This window comes from Homo sapiens, chromosome 9 (assembly GCF_000001405.40).
Source record: "Homo sapiens chromosome 9, GRCh38.p14 Primary Assembly".
NCBI classification, from domain to species: domain Eukaryota; kingdom Metazoa; phylum Chordata; class Mammalia; order Primates; family Hominidae; genus Homo; species Homo sapiens.
The window spans coordinates 98,982,950-99,005,637 of NC_000009.12; the positions used below are offsets into that span (position 1 = coordinate 98,982,950).

The 22,688-nt window shown below is 49.9% G+C and overlaps 1 protein-coding gene across 1 annotated transcript in view, besides 2 other annotated features; it reads left to right on the forward strand.

The window, feature by feature from the left end:
• COL15A1 (collagen type XV alpha 1 chain) overlaps window positions 1-22,688 on the forward strand; it is a 126,881-nt gene that overhangs the window by 39,043 nt on the left and 65,150 nt on the right. The window contains exons 3-9 of the mRNA NM_001855.5: window positions 2,616-3,163; window positions 4,345-4,419; window positions 6,229-6,309; window positions 13,985-14,132; window positions 17,890-18,002; window positions 20,504-20,638; window positions 21,949-22,101. Of these exons, the coding sequence (NP_001846.3) occupies window positions 2,616-3,163; window positions 4,345-4,419; window positions 6,229-6,309; window positions 13,985-14,132; window positions 17,890-18,002; window positions 20,504-20,638; window positions 21,949-22,101 (1,253 nt within the window). The remainder of the gene's footprint in view (window positions 1-2,615; window positions 3,164-4,344; window positions 4,420-6,228; window positions 6,310-13,984; window positions 14,133-17,889; window positions 18,003-20,503; window positions 20,639-21,948; window positions 22,102-22,688) is intronic.
• Window positions 15,344-16,100: an enhancer, noted in NCBI's record as "H3K4me1 hESC enhancer chr9:101760575-101761331 (GRCh37/hg19 assembly coordinates)". NCBI's record gives its function as "activates a minimal SCP1, AML or CMV promoter by ChIP-STARR-seq in naive H9 embryonic stem cells {active_cell/tissue: H9 hESC(naive)}" and the evidence as "EXISTENCE:reporter gene assay evidence [ECO:0000049][PMID:30033119]".
• Window positions 16,101-16,856: an enhancer, noted in NCBI's record as "H3K4me1 hESC enhancer chr9:101761332-101762087 (GRCh37/hg19 assembly coordinates)". NCBI's record gives its function as "activates a minimal SCP1, AML or CMV promoter by ChIP-STARR-seq in naive H9 embryonic stem cells {active_cell/tissue: H9 hESC(naive)}" and the evidence as "EXISTENCE:reporter gene assay evidence [ECO:0000049][PMID:30033119]".

Here is a 22,688-nt window from a genome sequence, read left to right on the forward strand (position 1 = left end):
TTTTTAGGCATTTGGCATGTGCCAGCACTTTGTATTATGTCCTTTAATCCTCACAACAACGCTATAGGCTAATTACTCGCTTTTTTTAAAATTGTGGTTAAGCATACATAGCATAAAATTTGGTATTTTAACCATTTAACAACCAAGTGTCTCATATTGTTCTTTATACTGTATTTTTTTGTGTAACCTAGATATTCCATAATAATTGAGGTTAGTACTGGCGGTGAGCAGCCTTCTCTGTGAGTGTTGCGGAGTTGAGATGGGGGCATGGCAGTCAGGGCATCTCCCTCTCCCAGCCACTAAGTATACATACCCATTCATGGGAAGTTTGAGTTCCTGGACCACCTGGAGTCTTGACTCCATCCTTCTTGCTGCTGAAGGGTCATTGATATAGTAGGCAGACTAGGTGGAGCCCCACCCGCAACCCCGGTACAGACTCCCCCATCTCAGTGAGGCTGCAGCAGTGAATCAGCCAGAAATCACACCAGCCATGGCTCGAAAATGTCCTGCCACTTACCAGCTGCATAACCTCGGGCCAGTCATCTCATCTTCCCAAGGGATAAGAGCAGTTAATTGCCAGGGCTGCTGTGAGGACTGAGTAAAACTATGCATGAAAACCACATTGTTATTATTCTTTATAAGGGAGCTCAAGGGCACAGAGGCAGGCTCCCATGTCAGCCTCACTTTCCTGGTCAGTGCTGCAGGCGTGATTATCCCTGCGCATTGACCTCTTGAGATTGTTCAGTGGATATAATAAAAATAAAGAATAGCGAATGTTTGTTGCACTGCTACCATTATTAACCAGGGGTTTCCGTGGACGGTCTCATTTAGTCATTCTTTTGGAGCCCATTCTAGTGCCTGTATGATAGAGGAAGACACTCAGACTTGGAGTGGTTCAGTGACTCACTGGAGTTCACACAGCTACGTAGTTGTGTCCAATAAGATGGTGGCAAGTTGGGTAAACTGGAAATCAGGCTGATTCCTCAGGTAGGGCTTTCCTTAGAGGGTCTCTCGAGTGTTTGGGGTTTTCTCTGGAGACAAACCCGCCAAGTCCTCAGAAACCACTTAGGTTCTCAGTGGCCTCTGGCCTTTGGCGATAGCCCAGACAGCCATCAATCAGTCTGCCTTGCCCTCTGGCCTCCAGAGGAGGACACTGCTCGATTCTGATCCTCACTCATTCCAGGCCTCCTCATCTGGTTGAATCCTCAGGATCCGGCTTCACTTCCAAGGCCAAAGGGTGTTACTTGTCCATTGTCCTGGCTACAGTGGTCTTGTCCCCCTCTCCCTGGGACTTGCCTTCCTGTCTCACTACTGGTACCTTGGATGTCAACTCAGAAGTGGGTGCATGTTGCTGCAAGCTAGTCTGCAGCTTTCTCCTGGGGAAAATACTTGGATGGGCCAACATTCTGGAGCCTGGGGGCCTTTTCAGGACACCATAATGGAGCTCCACCATTTCTCCCTGCAAGGTGTGGTGGCATAGCCTCTGGGGTCAGATGCTCTGGGTTTGAAACCTGCATGCAACTTACCTTGAGCAAATTTGTTAATTTCTCTAAGCCTCAGTTTTCTCAGAAGTAAGATGGGGATAAGAGTACCTAACCTCATAGGTTTGTTGTGAGGATTACATGAGCTAATGTATGCAGAGCGCTTAGAGCAGGGCCTGGTGCAGACAGAGCTTAGGGAATGTGGATGATGATGGCGGTGATGTCAAAGGCGATGACAATGACGCAAATTTCAATTGCCTTGAGGCCTGGGAACACTTCACTGTGTCCCTGATTTTCCCTGCACACTCAGAGGCACTTAAACAATAGACCTCATTCAAAACAAAACAAACCTATCCAGTTTTTTTGTTTTTGTTTTTTTGAGATGGACTCTCCCTCTGTCACTGAGGCTGGAGTGCTGTGGTGCGATCTCAGCTCACTGCAACCACCACCTCCGGGGTTCAAGTGATTCTGCTGCCTCAGTCTCCCAAGTAGCTGAGATTGCAGGCATGTGCCAGCATGCCTGGATAATTTTTGTATTTTTAGTAGAGACGAGGTTTCACCATGTTGGCCATGTTATCCTCGAACTCCTGACCTCAAGTGATCCACCCACCTGGGCCTCCCAAAATGCTGGGATTTTAGGCGTGAGCCACCATACCTGGCCCCTATTCAGTTTTATAGTGGGGAAAAAAAAAATCTCCAAGTCGATGGGTGAACATTATATATTCTAGGGATTACTCATAAGTGTTTTCCAAACGCAGGTCATGAACTATTAGTGGGTTATAAAATCAATTTAGTAATTAATTACCAGCATGTTTTTAATAAAATGAAGCAGAAAAAGAATAATTAAATGAAAAGAAAAATATTTGAGTGCCTGGTGAGTATTAAATCATGTTCTATGAAACTTCTGTTTCAGTGTTACAGATATCTGTCTACACGTGTGTATATTGGGTTGCAGTGCAAATGCATTTCTTTTTGTGGGTCGTTGTCAAAACGTTTGAAAAACAACCATTTAGGAACTACAGTTTCAGTGGGGTTCCTGAGTGATCCCGTTTCATTTGTGACTGCGTTTCTTCCTCATTTTCAAGCAAAGTGGAATATACCTGTAAAGCGTGGCCTCTCTCTCCCTCCCTGCAGAGACTGCTTCCCAGGGTCACCTGGACCTCACGCAGCTCATCGGTGTCCCGCTGCCCTCGTCCGTATCCTTTGTCACAGGCTATGGTGGCTTCCCGGCCTACAGTTTCGGGCCTGGTGCCAATGTTGGCCGCCCAGCCAGGACTCTCATCCCATCCACCTTCTTCAGGGACTTCGCCATCAGCGTCGTGGTGAAGCCCAGCAGCACCCGTGGTGGCGTGCTCTTCGCCATCACTGACGCCTTCCAGAAGGTCATCTACCTGGGCCTGCGGCTCTCAGGTGTGGAGGACGGCCACCAGCGGATCATCCTCTACTACACGGAGCCAGGCTCCCATGTGTCCCAAGAGGCTGCTGCCTTCTCGGTGCCTGTGATGACCCACAGGTGGAACCGCTTCGCCATGATTGTCCAGGGTGAGGAAGTGACCCTCCTCGTGAACTGTGAGGAGCACAGCCGCATCCCCTTCCAGCGGTCCTCCCAGGCTTTGGCTTTTGAGTCCAGCGCTGGAATCTTCATGGGCAATGCAGGAGCTACAGGGCTCGAGAGATTCACTGTGAGTTAAAGTCCCACTCCAGGTAGATCAGGGAGGTGGATGAACAGACTCGCCATGCAATAAATGGAGCAACTATTATTGTTATTATTTTATTCTTATGTCCTCAAAGAAGCATGCGTGTTATGATGGGAAATAACACTAGGCCTGGAACCCCAAAACCTAGATTTCCATCCTCAGTTTTCAACTTACCTTGTAAATTTGAGACAGTTATCCAGATTCTCTGATCCTCTCTGTGTTTCCTTATCTGTAAGTGGAGATAAGAAAACCTACCCCACAGTCTTGTAGGTCAAATAAGATAATCTGTGTGAAAGCACTTTGTACGTTTTAAGATTTTATATAAAAGAGCAAGGTTTGTTATAGCCCTAAATGGTTTGATCTTTGGATATGGGTGACAATTGCACGTAAGTAATTTCTGAAAAGGTGGGATACACTAGAATACCAGAGTGAGAGGTAGCTTTTCCCGCCTTCTAGGCAATGTGCACTTAAAAAAAATTTAAACTGACTTTACTATCAAAATGGGCTTTTATGAATAAGGCATTCTAAAGATCACTAAGTTATTGTAGTTACTCATTTAGTCAGCACACGTATTTACTGATGTCTCGTTGGTGAACAGGACAGCACCACGGGGTGGAGTTTGGGTTTATCTGGAGTAGAGTGAAAGACATTGGAGAATGTTAAGAAGTTAAAACACAAAGGGCAATTTTTAAATGCTCACTTTAGGAGCCTCATGGAGAGGAAGCTGTCAGGTGTGGGGAGAGGGGAGGAGAGTGGAGGCAGGGAGGCTGTGGTAGCCCTTCTTGGGACGAGGCCTTCAAACTCAGAAGCATTGAGCTGCAGGGGAAAGAGCTTTCTGGGAGAGGGAGATGTGCGTTTCAGGGCCTGCCGCTGACAAGCTGGGGACCTGGAGACAGGAGGCTGCTGTGGTGTGCACACTTGAACACAATGCTCCCCAAGGGCCTCTCTGGCCCAGGGGTCAGTATGATACTGGCCCAAGGAGAGTCCCCCCATAACTGAGAGTGGGCCAAGAGGTGGCCTGGCTTCGTGGTTGAGACTGCAGGCTGTACATCCTCATTCCCACGCTTTTACCTGTTCGTCTCCATTGCCAAAACAATCATGTCTTCCACTGGCAGTCATGCTGTGTACGTGCAAACCGTGGCTTCTGATCCGTCTCTTTTCCCCAGGGCTCCCTCCAGCAGCTCACCGTGCACCCCGACCCCAGGACTCCCGAGGAGCTGTGTGACCCTGAAGAGTCCTCGGTGAGCTCCCCTACTATCCCACAGTGGGCCCTGCAACCCCAGCAGCCGCAGCCTGGGGAGGGCTGGATGCCCAGACAGTGGCGTGGAGTTTCTGAAACCTCTCATTTTGGCAACTGCTGCCTCAAGTCCTATTTTGGGCTTTTGGCGTGATTTCACTTTTTAAAGAGCATCAGCCATCTCTGGTGTGGGGAGCTGTGTTTCTTATAAGGTGTCAGGATCTTCCATGGCTGTGGCCGTCAATGGCCTGCTTTCCCGCCTTCTTGCCAAGAAATGGTGTCAAGATTCTAAAATCAAAGTTAAAACTGAGATATTCTGGGAGTAAATTCCTATAAAAAACGATCCTCAACTTAGCTTTTATGCTTGGCAAATGAGTTCGTTCCTAAGCTGGGGATGGAGTGGTGGGCAGGAAAAAAAAGATGACTCCTTCTTCCCTCCCTCTAAGGATTGACTGAGCACCTGCTGGGTGCCAGCCCTGGGTAGGTGCTGGAGATAAAGGAATAACTGGGAACTGTTTAATAAGCTGCTCATATGCACTTCCATACCCAAATACAGTGGCAGAGCTGAGTGTGATGGGAAAAGGGGGAGATCCTCAAACCCAAACTCAACGTTGTCAGGTGGGAGCAGGAGAGGAAAGAGGAGGAACTTGAAGCCAGTTAGGGAGCAGGTGATGCCTGACCAATGACAAGGGTGAGGCCTCCCAGGGAGAAGGGGTCCAGGATGCAGTCAGAGGTGAGCAGAAGGTAGCGCATTCCTGCAATTCCTGTTGCCTTTTGGGTGGCATCAACGTCACAACAGAACATAAATTGATTTTGTTAACTTTGTAAAAAACAAAATGCTGTCGATTTCGTTGGAAAGCCCCTGAGAGGTGGAATTTGGGCCTGTGAGAATGCCTGTGTTCCATGAGCCAGTGGTCCCAGCCTGACAGTCATGTGATGCTGATCAGTGTAGTCACGCGTTAGTCTCTGCATTGCCATTAATACTGAAAAAGTAGAAACAACCCAAGGGTCCAAGAACAAGGGATTGGTTACAAAATCACAGCACTCGGGCTCCTTGTCTGCCTTTAGGAGGCTAATTAGAAAGATTAGGTAATGCCAGGAAGTCATGCTTCGGCTGTAATTGTTCCCAGCGCAAGATTCCAATGACAGCCTCACAAAGGTTGGGAGAGTGGTGGGGACCTGGATCGAATGAAAGTAGATATGTTAGAGAGAGTGAGAAATCATTGTGTATTCTGTTAGAGCAATAAAATGTGGAAAGAAATAAAATGAACAACCAGGCTGGGCGCAGTAGCTCACGCCTGTAATCCCAGCACTTTGGGAGGCCGAGGTGGGTGGATCACTTGCGGTCAGGAGTTGGAGACCAGCCTGGCCAACATGGTGAAACCCCATCTCTACAAAAAATACAAAAATTAGCCCGGCGTGGTGGCGTGTGCTTGTAATCCCAGCTACTCGTGAGGCTGCGGCAGGAGAATCGTTTGAACCCAGGAGGCAGAGTTTGCAGTGAGCTGAGATCGCACCACTGCACTCCAGCATGGGTGACAGAGTAAGAGAGAACCTGTCTCAAAAAAATAAAAAAATAAAAATAAATAAATAAAACAAATAACCAACCATGCACACTGCACACACGCTGTCTCCTTAACCCCACTCCGTCTCTCATAGACACACACACACACACACACACACACACACACACACACACACGGTTTCCCTGTAGGAGAGTCGGTTTGTCAGTTTCTGTAACTTTCCCAGTCATCCAACTCTTATGGGCCCTGCCCGCTCTGCCCGGTGTGTGGCACAGTTTGTCTCCACACAGGCATCTGGAGAGACCAGTGGGCTGCAGGAGGCAGACGGAGTAGCTGAGATCTTAGAAGCCGTCACCTACACTCAAGCCTCGGTGAGTACTGGGATGCTGTGCCATGTGATCTTGCTCAGCTTTTAGCAGGCTGAGAATTACTAGAGGGGGCCCAGAGTCCTGGGTCTGACCTCTTTGTTTCCAGACCTGTGAGCTTAATCGTTGACTCATCTGGGGGGGTCAGGAAAATAATGGCCAATGGGCACTTTGCAAAATCCCCTGGTGAACCGCAACACCAGCTTCCTCAGTGCCACCCTGTGTGTGGCCATCAGAGGGCTGTCAAGGGCAAACGCTGTGCTGTATTGCTTTGGAGCCTTGGGTAAAAAGCCTGTGGCCTTAGGTAACTTACTCAACCATTCTGAACCTCAACTCCTCTTCCAAGAATGGTGATTCTAATAGCCCTATCTCATAGGGTTGTTTCCAGGGTTAGATGATGAAGTGCAGGGACAAGCCTCAGCCCAGCATCTGGCATGAGGGAAATGGCCCTGAACGATGGCTCTTGTTATATTTGCTCAGTGCTCCAGCTGTGAAAGCACAGTCAGGACCCCAGTCTTGTGAGTCACAGAGTCCTCCAGGGAGCTCACTTCTGACGCATGGGAAAGGCAATCCTAACTTCCAGTGGCCTGGACCTCCTCCCTCCTGGGAATGCTCCCTGTGGCTGAGACATGGAAGTGGTTTTGAAAGCACTGAGTCAGACTGTGGGGACACCCAGGAGCCTGTTTTTAATGAAAACAGCAAGCAGCAGCAGAGTCACTAAATACAGCAGAGCTTCAGCCGTCTCCTTGCCTGGTCAGGCTACTTTGTAAACGTATCTCTAATAGAAGAAATCAGGGAGATGGAAATTAGGCAGTGGCTGGAGATTACAGACCTTGGGCAGCAGGGCTGTGCATGCAGCAGAGCTGTGGATGCAGCAGAATAGAACTAGACTCTGTTAGCACTGGAAGGACCCAAAGTCCTGTACATCTCTTTCTGTACAGAGGTGTACGGAAAACTGCCCTTTGTGTACAAACTGAGCAAACCAAGGCCCAGATAGGGGAAGACACTGACTGAAGGGTGTATGGGCCGGACTGGGGTAACAGCATGAGTCTCCTGATGCCCATCCATGGGGTCATGGCCTGAGTGGTATTGCAAAAGTCCATCCCAAGGATGGCGGCCAACTCTTGGCCAGTTGGGATGAATGAAGTCAAGGGTCCAAGTTGCCTGCCTACCTGGTGATTGGGGAGGGCAACTGCTTTGGGTGGTGTGGCTATCCTGTGTGCCCATCAGCCCTTGGCCATCCCACAGGCATGTCCCAACCTGGGGCAGTAGGACACAGAGTGGCCTTCACATCTGATGCTGCCCTGTGCACCAGTTCACAATTCACAGCGAAGCCAACTCAGGCAAAGGTGCCAACAGCCCAAGGTTGCCCTTAGAGAGGGACAGGAAAGGAGAGTGGAGTTTGAGCCTGAGATGATCACAGGGGACAGAAGTAGGGCAGAGAAGCTTGGGAGGGGGCACCAGAGCTGGGCAGCTTTGGACAGAGATAGAGAAGTGGGAGGGGAAGGAAGAGAACTGGCATTTCTTGATACCACTGTGTACCTGGTGCTATTGTGTCTGGAATTGGTGGGTTCTTGGTCTCACCGACTTCAAGAATGAAACCACGGACCCTCGCGGTGAGTGTTACAGTTCTTAAAGGTAGTGTGTCTGGAGTTTGTTCCTTCTGATATTTGGATGTGTTCAGAGTTTCTTCCTTCTGGTGGGTTCCTGGTCTCGCTGTCTTCAAGAGTAAAGCTGCAGACCTTCGCGGTGAGTGTTACAACTCTTAGGGCAGTGCCTCTGGAGTTGTTTGTTCCTCCCGGTGGGTTCATGGTCTTGCTGGCCTCAGGAGTGAAGCTGCAGACCCACCCCATGAGTGTTACAGCTCATAAAGTCAGTGCGGACCCAAAGACACTAACAGCGATATTTATTGCAAAGAGCAAAAGAACAAAGCTTCCACAATGGGAAAAGGACCTCACCAAGTTGCCGCTGCTCACTCAGGCAGCCTGCTTTTGTTCCCTTATCTGACCCCCCCCCACATCCTGCTGATTGGCCCATTTTACAGAGAGCTAATTGGTCCACTTTACAGAGAGCTGATTGGTCCGTTTTACAGAGAGCTGATTGGTCCATTTTGACAGGGTGCTCATTGGTGCGTTTACAATCCCTGAGCTAGACACAGAGTGCTGATTGGTGCATTTACAATCCTCTAGCTAGACACAAAAGTTCTCCAAGTCCCCACTAGATTAGCTAGACACAGAGCACTGATTGGTGCATTTACAAACCTTGAGCTAGATACAGAGTGCTGATTGGTGCATTTATAATCCTCTAGCTAGACATAAAAGTTCTCCAAGTCCCCACTAGATTAGCTAGACACAGAGCACTAATTGGTGCGTTTACAAACCTTGAGCTAGATACAGAGTGCCGATTGATGCATTTACAATCCTCTAGCTAGACATAAAAGTTCTCCAAGTCCCCACTAGATTAGCTAGACACAGAGAACTAATTGGTGCGTTTACAAACCTTGAGCTAGACACAGAGTGTTGATTGGTGTGTTTACAAACCTTGAGCTAGACACAGAGTGTTGATTGGTGTGTTTACAAACCTTGAGCTAGACACAAGAGTGCTGATTGGTGTATTTACAATCCTTTAGCTAGACATAAAAGTTCTCCAAGTCCCCACTAGATTAGCTAGACACAGAGCACTGATTGGTGCATTTACAAACCTTGAGCTAGACACAGGGTGCTGATTGGTGTGTTTACAATCCTTTAGCTAGACATAAAAGTTCTCCAAGTCCCCACCCAACTCAGGAGTCCAGCTGGCTTCGCCTAGTGGATCCCGCACGAGGGCAGCAGGTGGAGCGGCCTGCCAGTCCCACGCTGCCTCCTCAGCCCTTGGATGGTCGATGGGAACAGCCGCCGCAGAGCAGGGGGCGGTCCCCGTCAGGGAGGCTTGGGCCATGTGGGAGCCCACTGCCAGGGGGCTCGGGCATGGCAGGCTGCAGGTCCCAAGCCCTGCCCTGCGGGAAGGCGGCTGAGGCCCAGTGAGAATTCGAGAGCAGTGCGGGCCGGTCGGCAGTGCTGGGGGACCCGGCACACCCTCTGCAGCTGCTGGCCTGGGTGCTAAGCCCCTCACTGCCCAGGGTCGGTGGCACCGGCTGGCCGCTTAGAGTGCGGGGCCCGCCGAGCCCACGCCTACTTGGAACTCTCACTGGCCCGCAAGCGCTGCACGCAGCCCTGGTTCCTGCCCACACGTCTCTCTCCACACCTCCCCACAAGCAGAGGGAGCCGGCTTCAGCCTCTGCCAACCCAGAGAGGGGCTCCCACAGTGCAGTGGTGGGCTGAAGGGCTCCTCAGGTGTGGCCAGAGTGGACGCCAAGGCCGAGGAGGCACTGAGGGCGAGCGAGGGCCGCCAGCACGTTGTCAATTCTCGCTATTGTATGCATGATTTCACTTTTGTTTCTTGCCACCCTGCAAGGTAGGTGGCATCAGCCCCATTGTGCAGATTCAAAAATGAATGCCCAGGAGGTGGGGTGCCTCTTCCAGGGTCACAGGGTAGTGAAGTCAGGACTCAAGCCAGGCCTCACTCCCCAGGCTTGGACCCTCCCCAGGACCATGGCACTGCAGGCACTGGGGCAGATGTGGGGCACGTGTCAGCCAAGGGGGGCTATGAAATCAATCCCCAGACTATCTGGAAAAGTGAAAAAGAAAAAGTTGTTGGTGATTTGATGGACTTGGTGGCCTCTGGGGAACCTCTAACACTTTCTTTCCATGCTTCCCCAACCCAACTTTTCTCAGTGGTTTTATGGGAACTGGTGCATATCAGAGTTCCACCAAGCGTGAATCCCAGCTCTGCCACTTACTAGCTCTTGACCTTGAGCAAGTGACTTAAGCTCTCCAAGGCTCAGTTTCCTCCTTGGTTACAATAGAGTGGACCTGCCTCATAGGGTCAGTGTGAAAATTAGACAAATTGCCCTGTGCAAAATGCTTGGACAGTGCCTGTTGTTGCTACTGTTGACCAGTGGGTTTGTTGTGAGGATTAAGGGAGGTGATGTGATGTGTCAGAGAGCAGCTCAGTGCTGGACTCAGCACCGGGCATAGTACAGATGCCTCGTTCCTCTTGGGGCCTCCTGGTTGGCCAGTGGCTTGGGCTGACAGGCATGCCAAACCCCTGTGGCTGCCTTCAGTTATTAAGGGGATTGCCCTGGGCTGTGCCTCGAGGCCTGATGGTCCTGACCTTAACCTGTCTGTTCCTGATCATCAGAATGCCTTCCCTGTGCACCCGTCTGTCTGCACCACAGTTCACGCTCTTCCACATGCTTCCATTTCCTTTAGTCTCATTTGCAGGGAGGTGTTTGGGGTCTCTTCTACATAGGAGGGCACTGAGGCCATGGAGATGGTTGCTGGAGGCACCCAGCCTGGAGGTGGCAGAGCCAGGTCTCCAGCTCAGGGTCCAGAGTGCACTCAGTCATGCCACCCCTGAGCTGGGGACTTCCCCCTTTTAACATCTCCTGGAAGGGCTTTATGGCATTTTCCGGCAGCCACCCTCTAGGACGGGGAATTTCCCTCTTCAGCTCAGACAGTCCCCGCCCGCCCCTTGTCTGTCTAACTTCTTTCTTGGAATGAATCTCACTTCCCCATCCTCAGCCTTTCCAGCCTGCCACCCTTTGAGACATGAGCCGTCGCCAGTGAACTGAATTGCAGACTTTCTGAGTGGTCAGGGACTACAAAGTCTGCCCCTCCTTGCCTTCTTCCCCATTTAGGATTGGGGTCCTTGCTATCCAATTCTTTGCATTTTCAGAAAGTTCTATGCTGTTGGAATTAACATCCCTGTGGTTCTCAGCCCTGGCTGTGCATCAGGGTCATTTGTGTGTAAGTGTGTGTTGGGGGTGGGGGTGGCATGGGGGGTTGGGGAGGCACTGTGTTGGGGGGATTGGTCTTTAAAAGCAGATTCTTGCCTGGGCTGTAGACCTGGATGTTCAGCTTCAGTAGATCTGGAGTGAAAGATCCTAGAATCTGTATTGACAAAAAGCTCTGCAGGTGATTCTGGTCCTCAGCCAGGGCCTCTTTCCCAACCACACCCAGATGCTCACAGTTCTCTGGACAGACCGAGCACTTTCTCCCCTCCATGGCGCCTTAGTTCCTGCGGTTCTGTTTGCCTGGAGGGCCCCTCCCAGCTCCCATTTCTGCCTGGCAAGTTCCTACTTAGCCTTCAGGATCCAGTCCACATCCTCTCCTTGGAGGCCATTATTTAGCTAAGCCCCCTCCTCGCACTTGGCTCTCACTCACGCCATCCCATGCATCACTCCGAATCATGGTTTGTTGCGTCTGGTCTAGGTCTGGGGATCCTCCATCACCTGACAGCTTGAGGACAGACACGCTGTCTTAGTTATTCATTTCTGTGTCCCCAGGGCTCAGCCAAGGACCTAGCACACGGTAGGGCCTCTGGAAATATGTGCAGAATGAGTAAATCTGATTGTGTGGACGTGAGCCTGGACTCAGCAAATTGCAACACTTTTAATAGCAAGTCTTCAGACTTGAGGTTCCTATTTTGTCACAGGCCACACTGGATCCCCATTCACATTGACCTCTGAAAACCAAAGCCACCTATTTGAGGCAGGTCCCCTTACCCTCACTCCTGAGGGTCAATTCACCAGAACCATGCCCTGTCCTTGCAGGGGGGTTGGGATGCCTTGTTGGGAGTTTGACAACTTCAGCCACCCTGAGTTACAGAGCTCAGCCCCCATCTCGTTGTCTTCCTATGTTTCCTGAACCCTCACCTGCCCTGCCCGCCTCATCCCAAAGTCCAAATGCCTTATAGAGCACCTTTGCTACCAGCCACCAGCAGCCTCACTCCAGACTAGAGATGAGCATTCAGGGGCTTGAGCATTGGTTCCTGAACAAGTGATGGAGTGGCTTCTGCCTTGATCCCTCACAGGGAGAGGAGAGGAACCTCCTGGGCAGGGGTCTTTATCTTCCCTGCTAGATGAACATCCATCTGGGTGAAATGGAGACATCCCACCTGGTCTTGTTCACAACCTCCCCTGGGGAGGTGCCTGCTGTCTGCTCCCACTGCTGCCCTGGTTCCTGTCTTGTGGACTTCTTTACTGCCACCCCCCAGTCACCTGGCGTAAGCCTCAGCTCCCCTAGTCCATGATCACACTGCCACCAGCGAGGACTCTCTAAAACACACAGCTGCCCCCACCACTCCCTCTCCCGATGCTCCCCAGTGGCTGCCTGTGGCCCTTGGGTTCAAGCCCATTCTTCTCCCCACAGAACCAGCTCCTCCCTCTGCCTGCCTCCCTGGGCTCTGTTCCACTGCTTCCCTCCTCAAGCCCTGGGCTCTTGCCAAGCTCAAGTTGCCAGGCCCTGACTTTCATCAACCCTCCACCCCTGTGTTCTGAAACCCTGCTCATTCTCCAAGGCCCAACTCCTTAAAGCCTTTCCTCCCACCTCCACCCTGAAGATTTTACAGTACAATAGAATCCATGGTGATTGTCTCTGGGTGTTAGGACTCAAGGTGATTTCTCTTTTTGCTCATCTGTACTTACAGTGTTTTCAATAACAAATATGGAATATTTATGTACTAAATATAAAGGTGTGCTTAGCCCTTCCATGCATTTTCTATTTCCTGCCTTCAAGTAGTTCTTTATTGTCCTCATTTTTACAGAGGAGGAAGCTGAGGTTCAGTGAAGCTCCATGACTTGCCCAACATAACTAAGCTTATAAGTGGAGAGCTGGGATTTGATCCAGGTCTGACTGTAAGAAATGAACTATTAAATTCTAAATGATGGGGCTTCCAAGAATCCTCCTTGTTCCATGGACCAGAAATTTTTTGATTTACTAGATTCTGAATTAAGGAAATAACCTTCTGTTATTAGTCAGGAAAGGTAAGTGATGCTGCAGTAACAAATTAACCTCAAAAATCTTAGTGCCTTACAAAACAAAGATTGGTTTCTTGTTCATACCACGAGTTCAACACTGATTCACAGGATTCTTCCATGCACCCCCAGCCCCTTTAGCTTAGAAAGTGATGAGGCTATCTGAATGCTGACAAGCGCTGGGTCCCGCGAGCTGCTGCTTGGGTCCAGGGGTGATGCTGTGACTTTTGGAGCCCATGCTAGGATTTCTGCGTAGATCACTGAAGCACTCTGTGTTTCTGTTGGGGTTTTGTTTGTTTGCTTTTCTCTAGTTGGTAATGTTGGTTAAGACACTGACTGGCTTTGGAAAAGCTATATAGATGCTGAAGTTTCCTCGGAAGGAACCACACCCGTCTTTCATTTTCATAGGTGTTTTCATATCTGGCATTGAATTTATATGCAGTTTATTGAGTGCAGCCTGGTTCATTCATTTGTTCACTAATTCATTCAATCATTCCCTCCTCTAACAGATCTTTACTGGGCACCTCCTCTGGCTGACCTGGGATTTGGGAATCACAGAAATGTGGTCCCTGTGCTCAGAGAGCTTTGGCTGAGATGAATAGTCTCACTGTCAAGTGAACAGAATCTAATGACCTCTAGTAGGCACCTCTTTCAGGCCCTGGGAGGTGCAGCCATTGCCCAGGTAGACACCAAGTGGGGCCAAGCTTTCCCCTTGGTTTATTCAGCATCTTGTGGATATATTATTTTCTTCAGTGATATTCTCTGTCATTTCTTCTGCTTTACTGCCAAGTAAATCATTTTGCATCTCATTTTTCCTCCCTTCAGCCCAAAGAAGCAAAAGTTGAACCCATAAACACACCTCCAACTCCATCCTCCCCCTTTGAAGACATGGAACTTTCTGGTGAACCTGTACCCGAGGGGACCCTGGAAACCACCAACATGAGCATCATCCAGCACAGCAGCCCCAAACAAGGCAAGTCCGGATGCACATGCCTACGTAGTGGCCTTTTATTGGGTGATTACTATGTGTCCAGCCGGGGCCATGTATGTAACATACAGAATCTCATTTAACCTTCCCCTCAACCCTTTAAGAAAGGGTGAGAACCACCCTCATTTTACAGACAAGAGGAGGAAATTGAGCCACAGAGAAGTTAAGTAACCCAGCCAGGAGCAAACAGCTTGTGAATGGCAGAGCTGGCATTTGAGCTCAGATAGCAGATCTTCTAACCCCCAGATCTGGAGCTTCTAACTCCCAGATTCTATTCCTTCTGGGGTTTAACAGAAAAGTTTGTAATAATCCTTGCTCTTTGTTGAATACCTACAGTGTGCCAAGTGTTTGGATATTTTGTCTCCAACACCGACAGCATACCGCCTACTCAGTAGCACTAGCCACTATTTTATAGGTGGAAAAACCAACACTTGGAAGAGCTAAGTCCAGAGTCCCCACCCATTCTGACTTTTGCCACAAACTCCCCAACTCTCAGAGGATCAGCTAAACTCCTGTGTGGCACAAGTGAGAAACTGATGGCCAGAGAGGGGCCAGTTACCCAGCAAGGCAGCAGCAGTCCCTAGGAGAAGAGCTGGTCCCCTGGCTGCCCATCCAGGGCTCTGGCCCCTGCCTCTTGTCCCCCTACCTGTGCAGAGGAGCACTGGTAAAAGCCCAGGCGTCAAACACTATCCCCCAGGCACTAGCTTGGCATATGCCCAAGCCCTGAGATCGCTTGTGGTTTCTGTCATTTCTCAGAGGGGCCGTCACTTCAGACTGAAGATGTAAGTACAAGATCATTCCTGGCAGCACTGTTCTTAGGAACAAAAATAACCCAAACTGCCCACAGTAGGGATTGGTCGGCCAAATTCTATTTCATTCATACATACAGCCCTGACACTGGTGATACAGAAGATTTAATGACCCAGGGACATGCTCGTGGTATATTCCACCAAAAAAGCAAATTCCAAAATTATGTCTATGACCCTAATTTTGAATATATGTTATTTATATCTATTTACATATAGCTATGTAGAGCGATGTGTGTGTATTAGATACATCACATATTAGACGTAATATTCATCAAAATGTTATAAGCAGTTATCTCTGAGTGGTAGGATTATGGATGGTTTTTACTTTTTTTATTGTACTTCCGTATTTTATTAATACAAGTCTTCTACAATAATACATATCACTATTCTTTTTGCTTCTGCCATCAGTTAATGAGTGTTATTTTAACAACTAAATTTGGGGAGTCTGTGGGTCAGAGAAAGTATAGAGAACTGGAGAGAAAAAATTGTAGGATAATTTAATAACGTCATGACAGAGCCAAGGAGGCAGGGTGTTGCTGTGGAAATACTGCCCGCTGGGGAGAGTCAGACAGCTTGGAAGGAGGCCCTGCCTAGCCCCCTATTTGCTGTCGGCCTGGGGCAAGTTGCTGATCAGTTTCCAAGCTTCAGATTCCTTAGCCGTCCTCTGGGAGCATGAACAATCCCCGATGCTGGGTGGATGAGAGGGCTGAATCTGGCCGCAGTTGTGGAAGTGGCTTCTGAATTGCGAATGCTTTTCTCAGGGGTGGAATTAGGATCTCTCAGCAAGGGGTTAAGGTGAAGGGGCTGGGGCGAGGGCTTTCCTAGACTGAGAAGATGAGGTCCACGTGGGGACTGGGCTCTGATCCCAACGCAGCTCGCCTGTTCCCGGGATCAGCCACACTCCTTATCTAGCAGACAAAAGGTCAGTTGAAAGCAATGGAGCTAGCCAAAGTGTCCTTTTCTTCTTGATGTGTAGACAGCCCGGATGGTGGGAGAAAGCCCTGGCTAAGCAAAGCCCCTAATATTTGCATTCAGAGCTTCCCTGACACCATCGTGACCCGTGGAAGGGGCCACCCCACCTCCTTCTTCCCAGGGGTCAGTCCTTGGAGGACAGGCAATCGGCTGCTTGCACGGCACCCCCTGGTGGTCAGAGCAGGGAAGACGAGAGTGCTCGACCCGTGCTGGCCACTCTTCCATCACAGGATGGGACAGGAGTGGGTGGGGAGGGGGGCAGAGTCCTTTGGAGGATTTGGCACCTCTTCCAGAGTTATTGTGACCATGGGACCTGCGTGAGCACAGCGTGTGTGGGAAGGGCCTGGCCCGGGGACAGGCTGACCTGGCTTCAGGGCCCTTCCCAGTCTCAGTCTCATTCCCAGGGTTAATAATACTGAGGTATTGATGTGTGGATCCGGCAGGTCACACCTGTCATGGGGTGATAGTGGGATCCCCAACCAGGATCTGCCCACCTGCAGGAAGGTGGTGGGAGGGGTCCCGGTGGGCAGGACAGGTGGGCCAGCAGGAGGGTTGCTGGAGGGAGTGCATGGGACAATCTTGGCATGGGCCCAGCCATAACAGGCGTGCAGTCATGGTAGTACAACTTCTTTTTCTTCTTCTTCTTCTTCTTTTTTTTTTTTTTTAGACAGGGTCTTGCTCTGTCACCCAGGCTGGAGCACAGTGGCACAATCATGGCTCACTGCAGCCTTGACCTCCCAGGCATGAGCTCCCTCCTTAGGCTCCTGAGCAGCTGGGTCTACAGCCACATGCCACAATGCCTGGCTATTTTTTTTTATTTTTAGTAGAGATGGGGTCTCGCTATGTTGCCAAGACTGGTCATGAACTCCTGAGCTCAAATGATCCTCCTGCCTTGGCCTCCCAAAATACTGGGATTACAGGCATGAGCCACCATGCCCGGCCAATGAATAAGTTTTCTTTGCTTCAAAAATCCATTTGCGTTTTTTTTTTTTTTTGAGATGGAATCTCACTCTGTCACCCAGGCTGGAGTGCAGTGGCACAATCTCAGCTTACTACAACCTCTGCCCACTGCAACCTCTGCCTCCTGGGTTCAAGTGATTCTCCTGCCTTGGCCTCCCAAGTAGCTGGGGTTACAGGCATGTGGAATCACACCTGGCTAATTTTTGTATTTTTAGTAGAGATGGGGTTTCACCATGTTGGCCAGGCTGGTCTTGAACTCCTGACCTCAAGTGATCTGCCCACCTCGGCCTCCCAAAGTGCTGGGATTCCGGGCTGCTTTTTAAATTGCAAAAGAAATATATGCATGTGGGAACAATTAAATTAATGCTCAGTTGTATAAACCAGAAAAATAATAGTTTCCTCTTCTTACACTCCTATCTTCTGGAAAATATCAGTACTAAACACTGTGGTTTAGCCAAGTATATAAATATATAAGCACATACATATACATATACATATACATATATGTATATATTATGTATGTCATAATCATTATTACATAACATGAATATGTTATATATATAATAATGATACGATATCTATACTCATACTTTTTTTTTCTATTTTACACACGTAAAACCATATCAACAATGAACATTTATCAATTGCTTACTATATGCCAGGGGCTGTCCTCAATGCTTTATTTGCATTAACTTACTTAGTCCTTGTGACACACAGTACTCAAAACAACCCTATGAGGTAGGAATTATTGTAATTCCCCATTTCTAGATAAGGAACTTGAGGCAGAAGTTGAGCGACTTGCCTGCAGGTGGTGCCAGAGCCTGGAATGGAAACCACACATGCTTTGCCATGTATGTTGTTCTGCAACTTGTTTTTTCCCCCTCTTGACCCTGTGTCATGGTATCTGAACATCTTTCCAAGTTAGCTGGTGAAGAGATACCTCATTCTTTTCCAAGACTGCAAAATGTAGTTATTGATAGCAGAATGCCTGCTTCCTGTAGGGTCTGGTGAGATCCTGAATGACACACTGGAGGGGGTTCATTCTGTGGATGGTGACCCCATTACTGACAGCGGCTCAGGGGCTGGGGCCTTCCTTGACATTGCTGAAGAAAAGGTGAGTAGATGGTAAATTTCATTTGATTAGTCAGTAGTAGGCTTGTTTGCTTATTTCAAACTTGGTGATGATTTTACTGAGCACCAGAGAGAACCACAAGGGTTTTGGTTGAATAGCATCAAGATTGCTTCTGTCCTCATGGTACAGAGGAGGTCAGAGTCCCAGGGCCACAGAGGCTCTCCAGGGATGCACAGGACTGGTGGGGGATATGCAGTGCAAGCTTGTCCTCACACTTGCCTGTGATGAGCGAGCGTCCAGGCCTCACCAATGCAACCCCGCCCTCCTGCTCAGTTGTGAAGGCACATAGCTTTATCAGCCCTTTGAGTCCCCTTCAAGACAGAATCAGATTAACTGCAGGTGTGTTCATGCTATTGTTTGGTAATTGGCTTTTACACCTGCAAAGCCAGTTTTTGAAATGCTGGGCTCCCTAGGGTGCAAAATTAAAGCATAAATAGTTTTCTCACAATGGCCCCTGCTGAAAACCCACAACGCCAGCTCATTCCTTCCCTTCTCCTGGGATGAAAACTTAAGACAGTTCTCACAGCTCTCTCAGTCACTATCTGGTAACAGTCAATTTTCACAGATATTTAAAAGTCAAGCCCAGCATAATATCAAAAATTCAACAAAATTACAAACACAGTTTCCCCCCTTCTATACTCAGGCCTACTGTAGACTAGGAAACTGCCAGGAAAGGGAAGCATGGTTAGGGGTTTCCTCTCTATTTTCTTACTTCTCTCTCCTCCTTATCCTCATGATCTCCCCATCCTCTAGAGCTATTTTTAACATCTGCAGGGGCTGGCCCACCTGGAGAAATGGACACAGTTGTACTTGGCTGGTCAAATTGTGATCTGGGCTTTTGGTGTGGAAGATGCCTGATTGTTGGAACTCTCTCTTATGGGGGCTTTTGTGGTTCCTGGGAGGTCTTCCTGCAGGGGACCTAGGATCAAAATTCCATAGTTTGCCTTGTAACTTCTGCCCGGGCTTCCACCCCATACAGGTTGCCCAGATCTTCTGCGTGGCTCTTTGAGTACAGCCCATTTCAGCCAGCTCCCTTTGGAGAGATTTTATCTTGTCTATCTCCAGCAAAACAACTGCAGGACAAATACCCCTCCCTTCTCCATCCCCCTCCCCTCCTCTCCCCTTTCCCTCTCACCTCCTCCTTCCCTCCTCTCTCCTTTTATTCCCTCCCTTCCTCTCCTCTCCTCTCCTCTCCCCTTTTCTCCCCTCCCCTCCTCTTCCCACTTCCCTCCTTTTCTCTTTCTCCCTCACCTCCCCCTCCTCTCCTCTCCCCTTCCCCTCTCTTCCTTTGTCCCTCTCTCCCAACTCTGAATCTAAAGGGCTCCCTCCTTTCACCTTTTGTCTCCCTGGAGAAAATCAGACACCAGTCCCTGAGCCTCCCAAATTCCAGGAAATACATACCCAGCTCACCAAATGGTTTGGAGTGAGTAGAGGGGAGGAGAAGAACCGCAGTACACTGAAAATTCTTTCCAAAGGAATTCTTGCTCTCCAGGCACTCAACCCCAAAATGAGTCCTGTATGGTTTCTTACACAGCCTAGAGGTAGGAGATGGGCAGGAGCTGGTAGAACGGGTGCCATTTCCTTGTTTTAGCATGGGGAGATTACCTGATGCCTGTGAAATTGCACTTGCCCTTTGGGGCTTTAGCTGACGCTGAGTTAGAAAGAGTCTCATTTTAACATCCTGGGACCTCAACTTTCCTCTAACTGTTTTTTGAGACAGTAATTCTGCAAGGATTTAATATATTTTATGAAAAAGGGGCTCTGTGGTCAAATGACTTTGGGAAATGCTGCACTCTACATTCCTCTTTTTATAGATTCTGAGAAATCCTGCAGCAAGGAAATCTTTTTAACTTTGATTAGCCTGGTGTTTTTTGTAACCAAAAGAACCACATTTTTGCAATAAATAAACAAGCTTTGGGAAATGAAGATAGAACATAGTTTGCTGTCACCAGCCCCAAAGCTGCTCTCTCTTTCCATTTCTCCCATTGCTATGAAACCTTCAGAGAATCTGCCTGTGCATTCCCAAAGGAAACTGAGTCACAGGGAGAGAGAAGAAGCAGGAATGTCTCTGTCTCCCAGCCTAGAGAAGGCTGAGGAGGACAGAGGTGCTGCCTACACATTTCTGAAGCATCTTCATGGGCAAAGACATTGTCTAATGCCTTCTGGATGGGTACATGGGGAGGTCACAGGGAGGCAATGGGTTTCAGTAGAAGTATCTAGAGCTAGACCAGGCTGACTCAGGAGCAGTGATTTCCGTGTTAATGGAGGTGCAAACCAATACTGGGAATCAAACACCAGACATAGGTGCCTGGGCAGTCTTTCCCATCCCTGGATTTATGAAACCATAGATGTGAAAGTCCTTGAGAGAAAGAAGCTACAGAAATGCAGGTGGCTGGAGAAGGCTAGGCAGTCTGTTCTCACCAGCCACAGGCATGTTGATGGGAGCCCAGAGACATGGTCTCTTGTGATGCCTTTGTTTTCAGAATTTAGCAGCAACAGCAGCGGGGCTGGCCGAGGTGCCCATCAGCACTGCTGGAGAAGCAGAGGCCAGCAGTGTGCCCACCGGGGGACCAACCCTCTCTATGTCCACGGAGAACCCAGAGGAAGGGGTCACTCCAGTAAGTAGCTCAGAGCGCAAGCTCCCCTTCACCTGTGTCTGGGGTTGTGGGTTGTGTTGGGTGGGAGCAGTCACTGGCTTTCCCTATGTGTCTGTGAAACACAGTGACAGTCTCATGGGGGCAGTCTGTCGGAGTAAGCACTAAATAGCATTGACCCATTCAGTGGCGGTGTGCAGAGCCCTACACTGTGCTGGGCACTAGGCCTGGTTTCAGGGATGGATAGTAAATAGGATAGACGTGATTCCTGAAGACAGGGTGGTAAGAGGGGCTGTGGTCAGTGGTAGGTGAAGCACAGGATGCCCTGGGAGCACTGAAAAAGGGGCCCAGAGCCCAGACTCGGGGGCACAGAAGTTTCCTGGGGAAAGGATGCTGAAGGCGGGCCTGAGAGGGTAAGTAGAAGTCGCCTAGCAGAGGGGGTGGAACAGGTGTTTCAGCAAGGTGGGCTGGCAGGAGCAAAGGCCTGAAGCCTGAAGAAGGGCAGCATACCTGTGGGGTCAAGCGTGAGCCAGGGGTCGGGGAGAAATGGCTGGAGAGGCTCTAAGGACACAGAGAAGATTCAGCAGAAGTGGGGAGTCACTGAAGGGTAAGAAACAAGGAATGGATGTAGCCAGATTAGAATTCCAGAAAGATCACTCTGACTACTGAGAGGAGAAAGGGTGGGGAAGCAAACTTGGAGAAAGAGGCCGGGCTTGGGGGCTGTGTTGGAGTTTGGGTGAGTGGTGGTGCCAGCCTGCCCTGGGATGTGGCCAACAATGTCAGATCCTCCCAGAAGTCCCAGTGAGCAAGGGGCTGAGAAACATCCATTGAATTTGTCCATTCACGGTGAGTGGCCTTGGGGAGAGCAGCTTCAGGGCTATCGGAGCGGTGGAAGCCAGATGGCACTGGGCTAGGAAGAGAGTGGGACAGGGAGTGGTCCACGAGGGTAGACTACTGCTTCAACAAGAAAGCTGTGGAGTCTGAGGACCTAGACTTTTGTTTCAACACAGTGACTTAAGCACCAGTAGAAGCTGCACTCTCTGATTAGGGGACACAGCTTGGAAGGGCTATTGGTGAGCACATGCCCCTCGGGGTTGGCAGGGAGTGGCTGGTGGCACACCACACGGGTGGGATGCTGGGGTGGTCTCGCAGCATGAGTGGTGTGAGGAACCAGGCTTCCATATTTCTGTCTGATGTCTCACTGTGGGTTTCCATGTGAAGTGAGGTCTTGGTGTGCAGGTGCTTTGAGGGGCCCTGGCCTTCTGTTCCTTACCACAGTGTGGTGGATCAGCATCATGGGGCACTGACGCGGTTCCTGTTGACTTTCTATTCAGGGTCCAGATAATGAAGAGCGTTTAGCAGCAACAGCAGCAGGGGAGGCCGAGGCACTCGCCAGCATGCCTGGGGAAGTGGAGGCCAGTGGTGTGGCCCCCGGGGAGCTGGACCTCTCCATGTCCGCCCAGAGCCTCGGGGAAGAGGCCACTGTGGTAAGGATCGTACAGTGCCCAAAGGTTGAGGTCATGGTGGGAGCAGCTCCTGACCTTCTCAGAGTGTGGGGCTCCTGCTCAGCAAACCCATGGGAGCCTGAGGCACGGGGATCTCTGACCAAATACTCACTTGGGGGTGGAGTTTGCCAAGGCCTGGGTGAGTGTGGTGAAGCCCCTGGAGGTCAGTGAGCAGCTGGGCCCTGGGGATGGGTGAGTTGCAGAGGTGGGGTTTGTCCCAAGGCTGCATGCAGGACCCTGCTGCCTCCACCCACAGGGGGTGGGAGCCAGAATGGAGGAGTGGCGGGCTCCTGGAGGGCGATGGGGGATCAGGCAGCAGGCGGCAGGCCCCAGCAAGGGTCAGAGGGCACGGCCAGGCCTTCCTAGCCCTCTCCTCGTGCAGCGCACAGACACTGTCCAGCTCCTGAAGGCAGGGCACATCATCCCAAGGCACTTGGCCAGTCTGTCCCTGTGCTGTCTCTACTATGGGTGCCCTCAAGTTCTTCCAGCTCAGCTGATTCAAACCTGAACTCCTCCTTTCCACTCCTCCTATGTTCCCACCTCAAATGAATGGGACCATCATCCTCCAG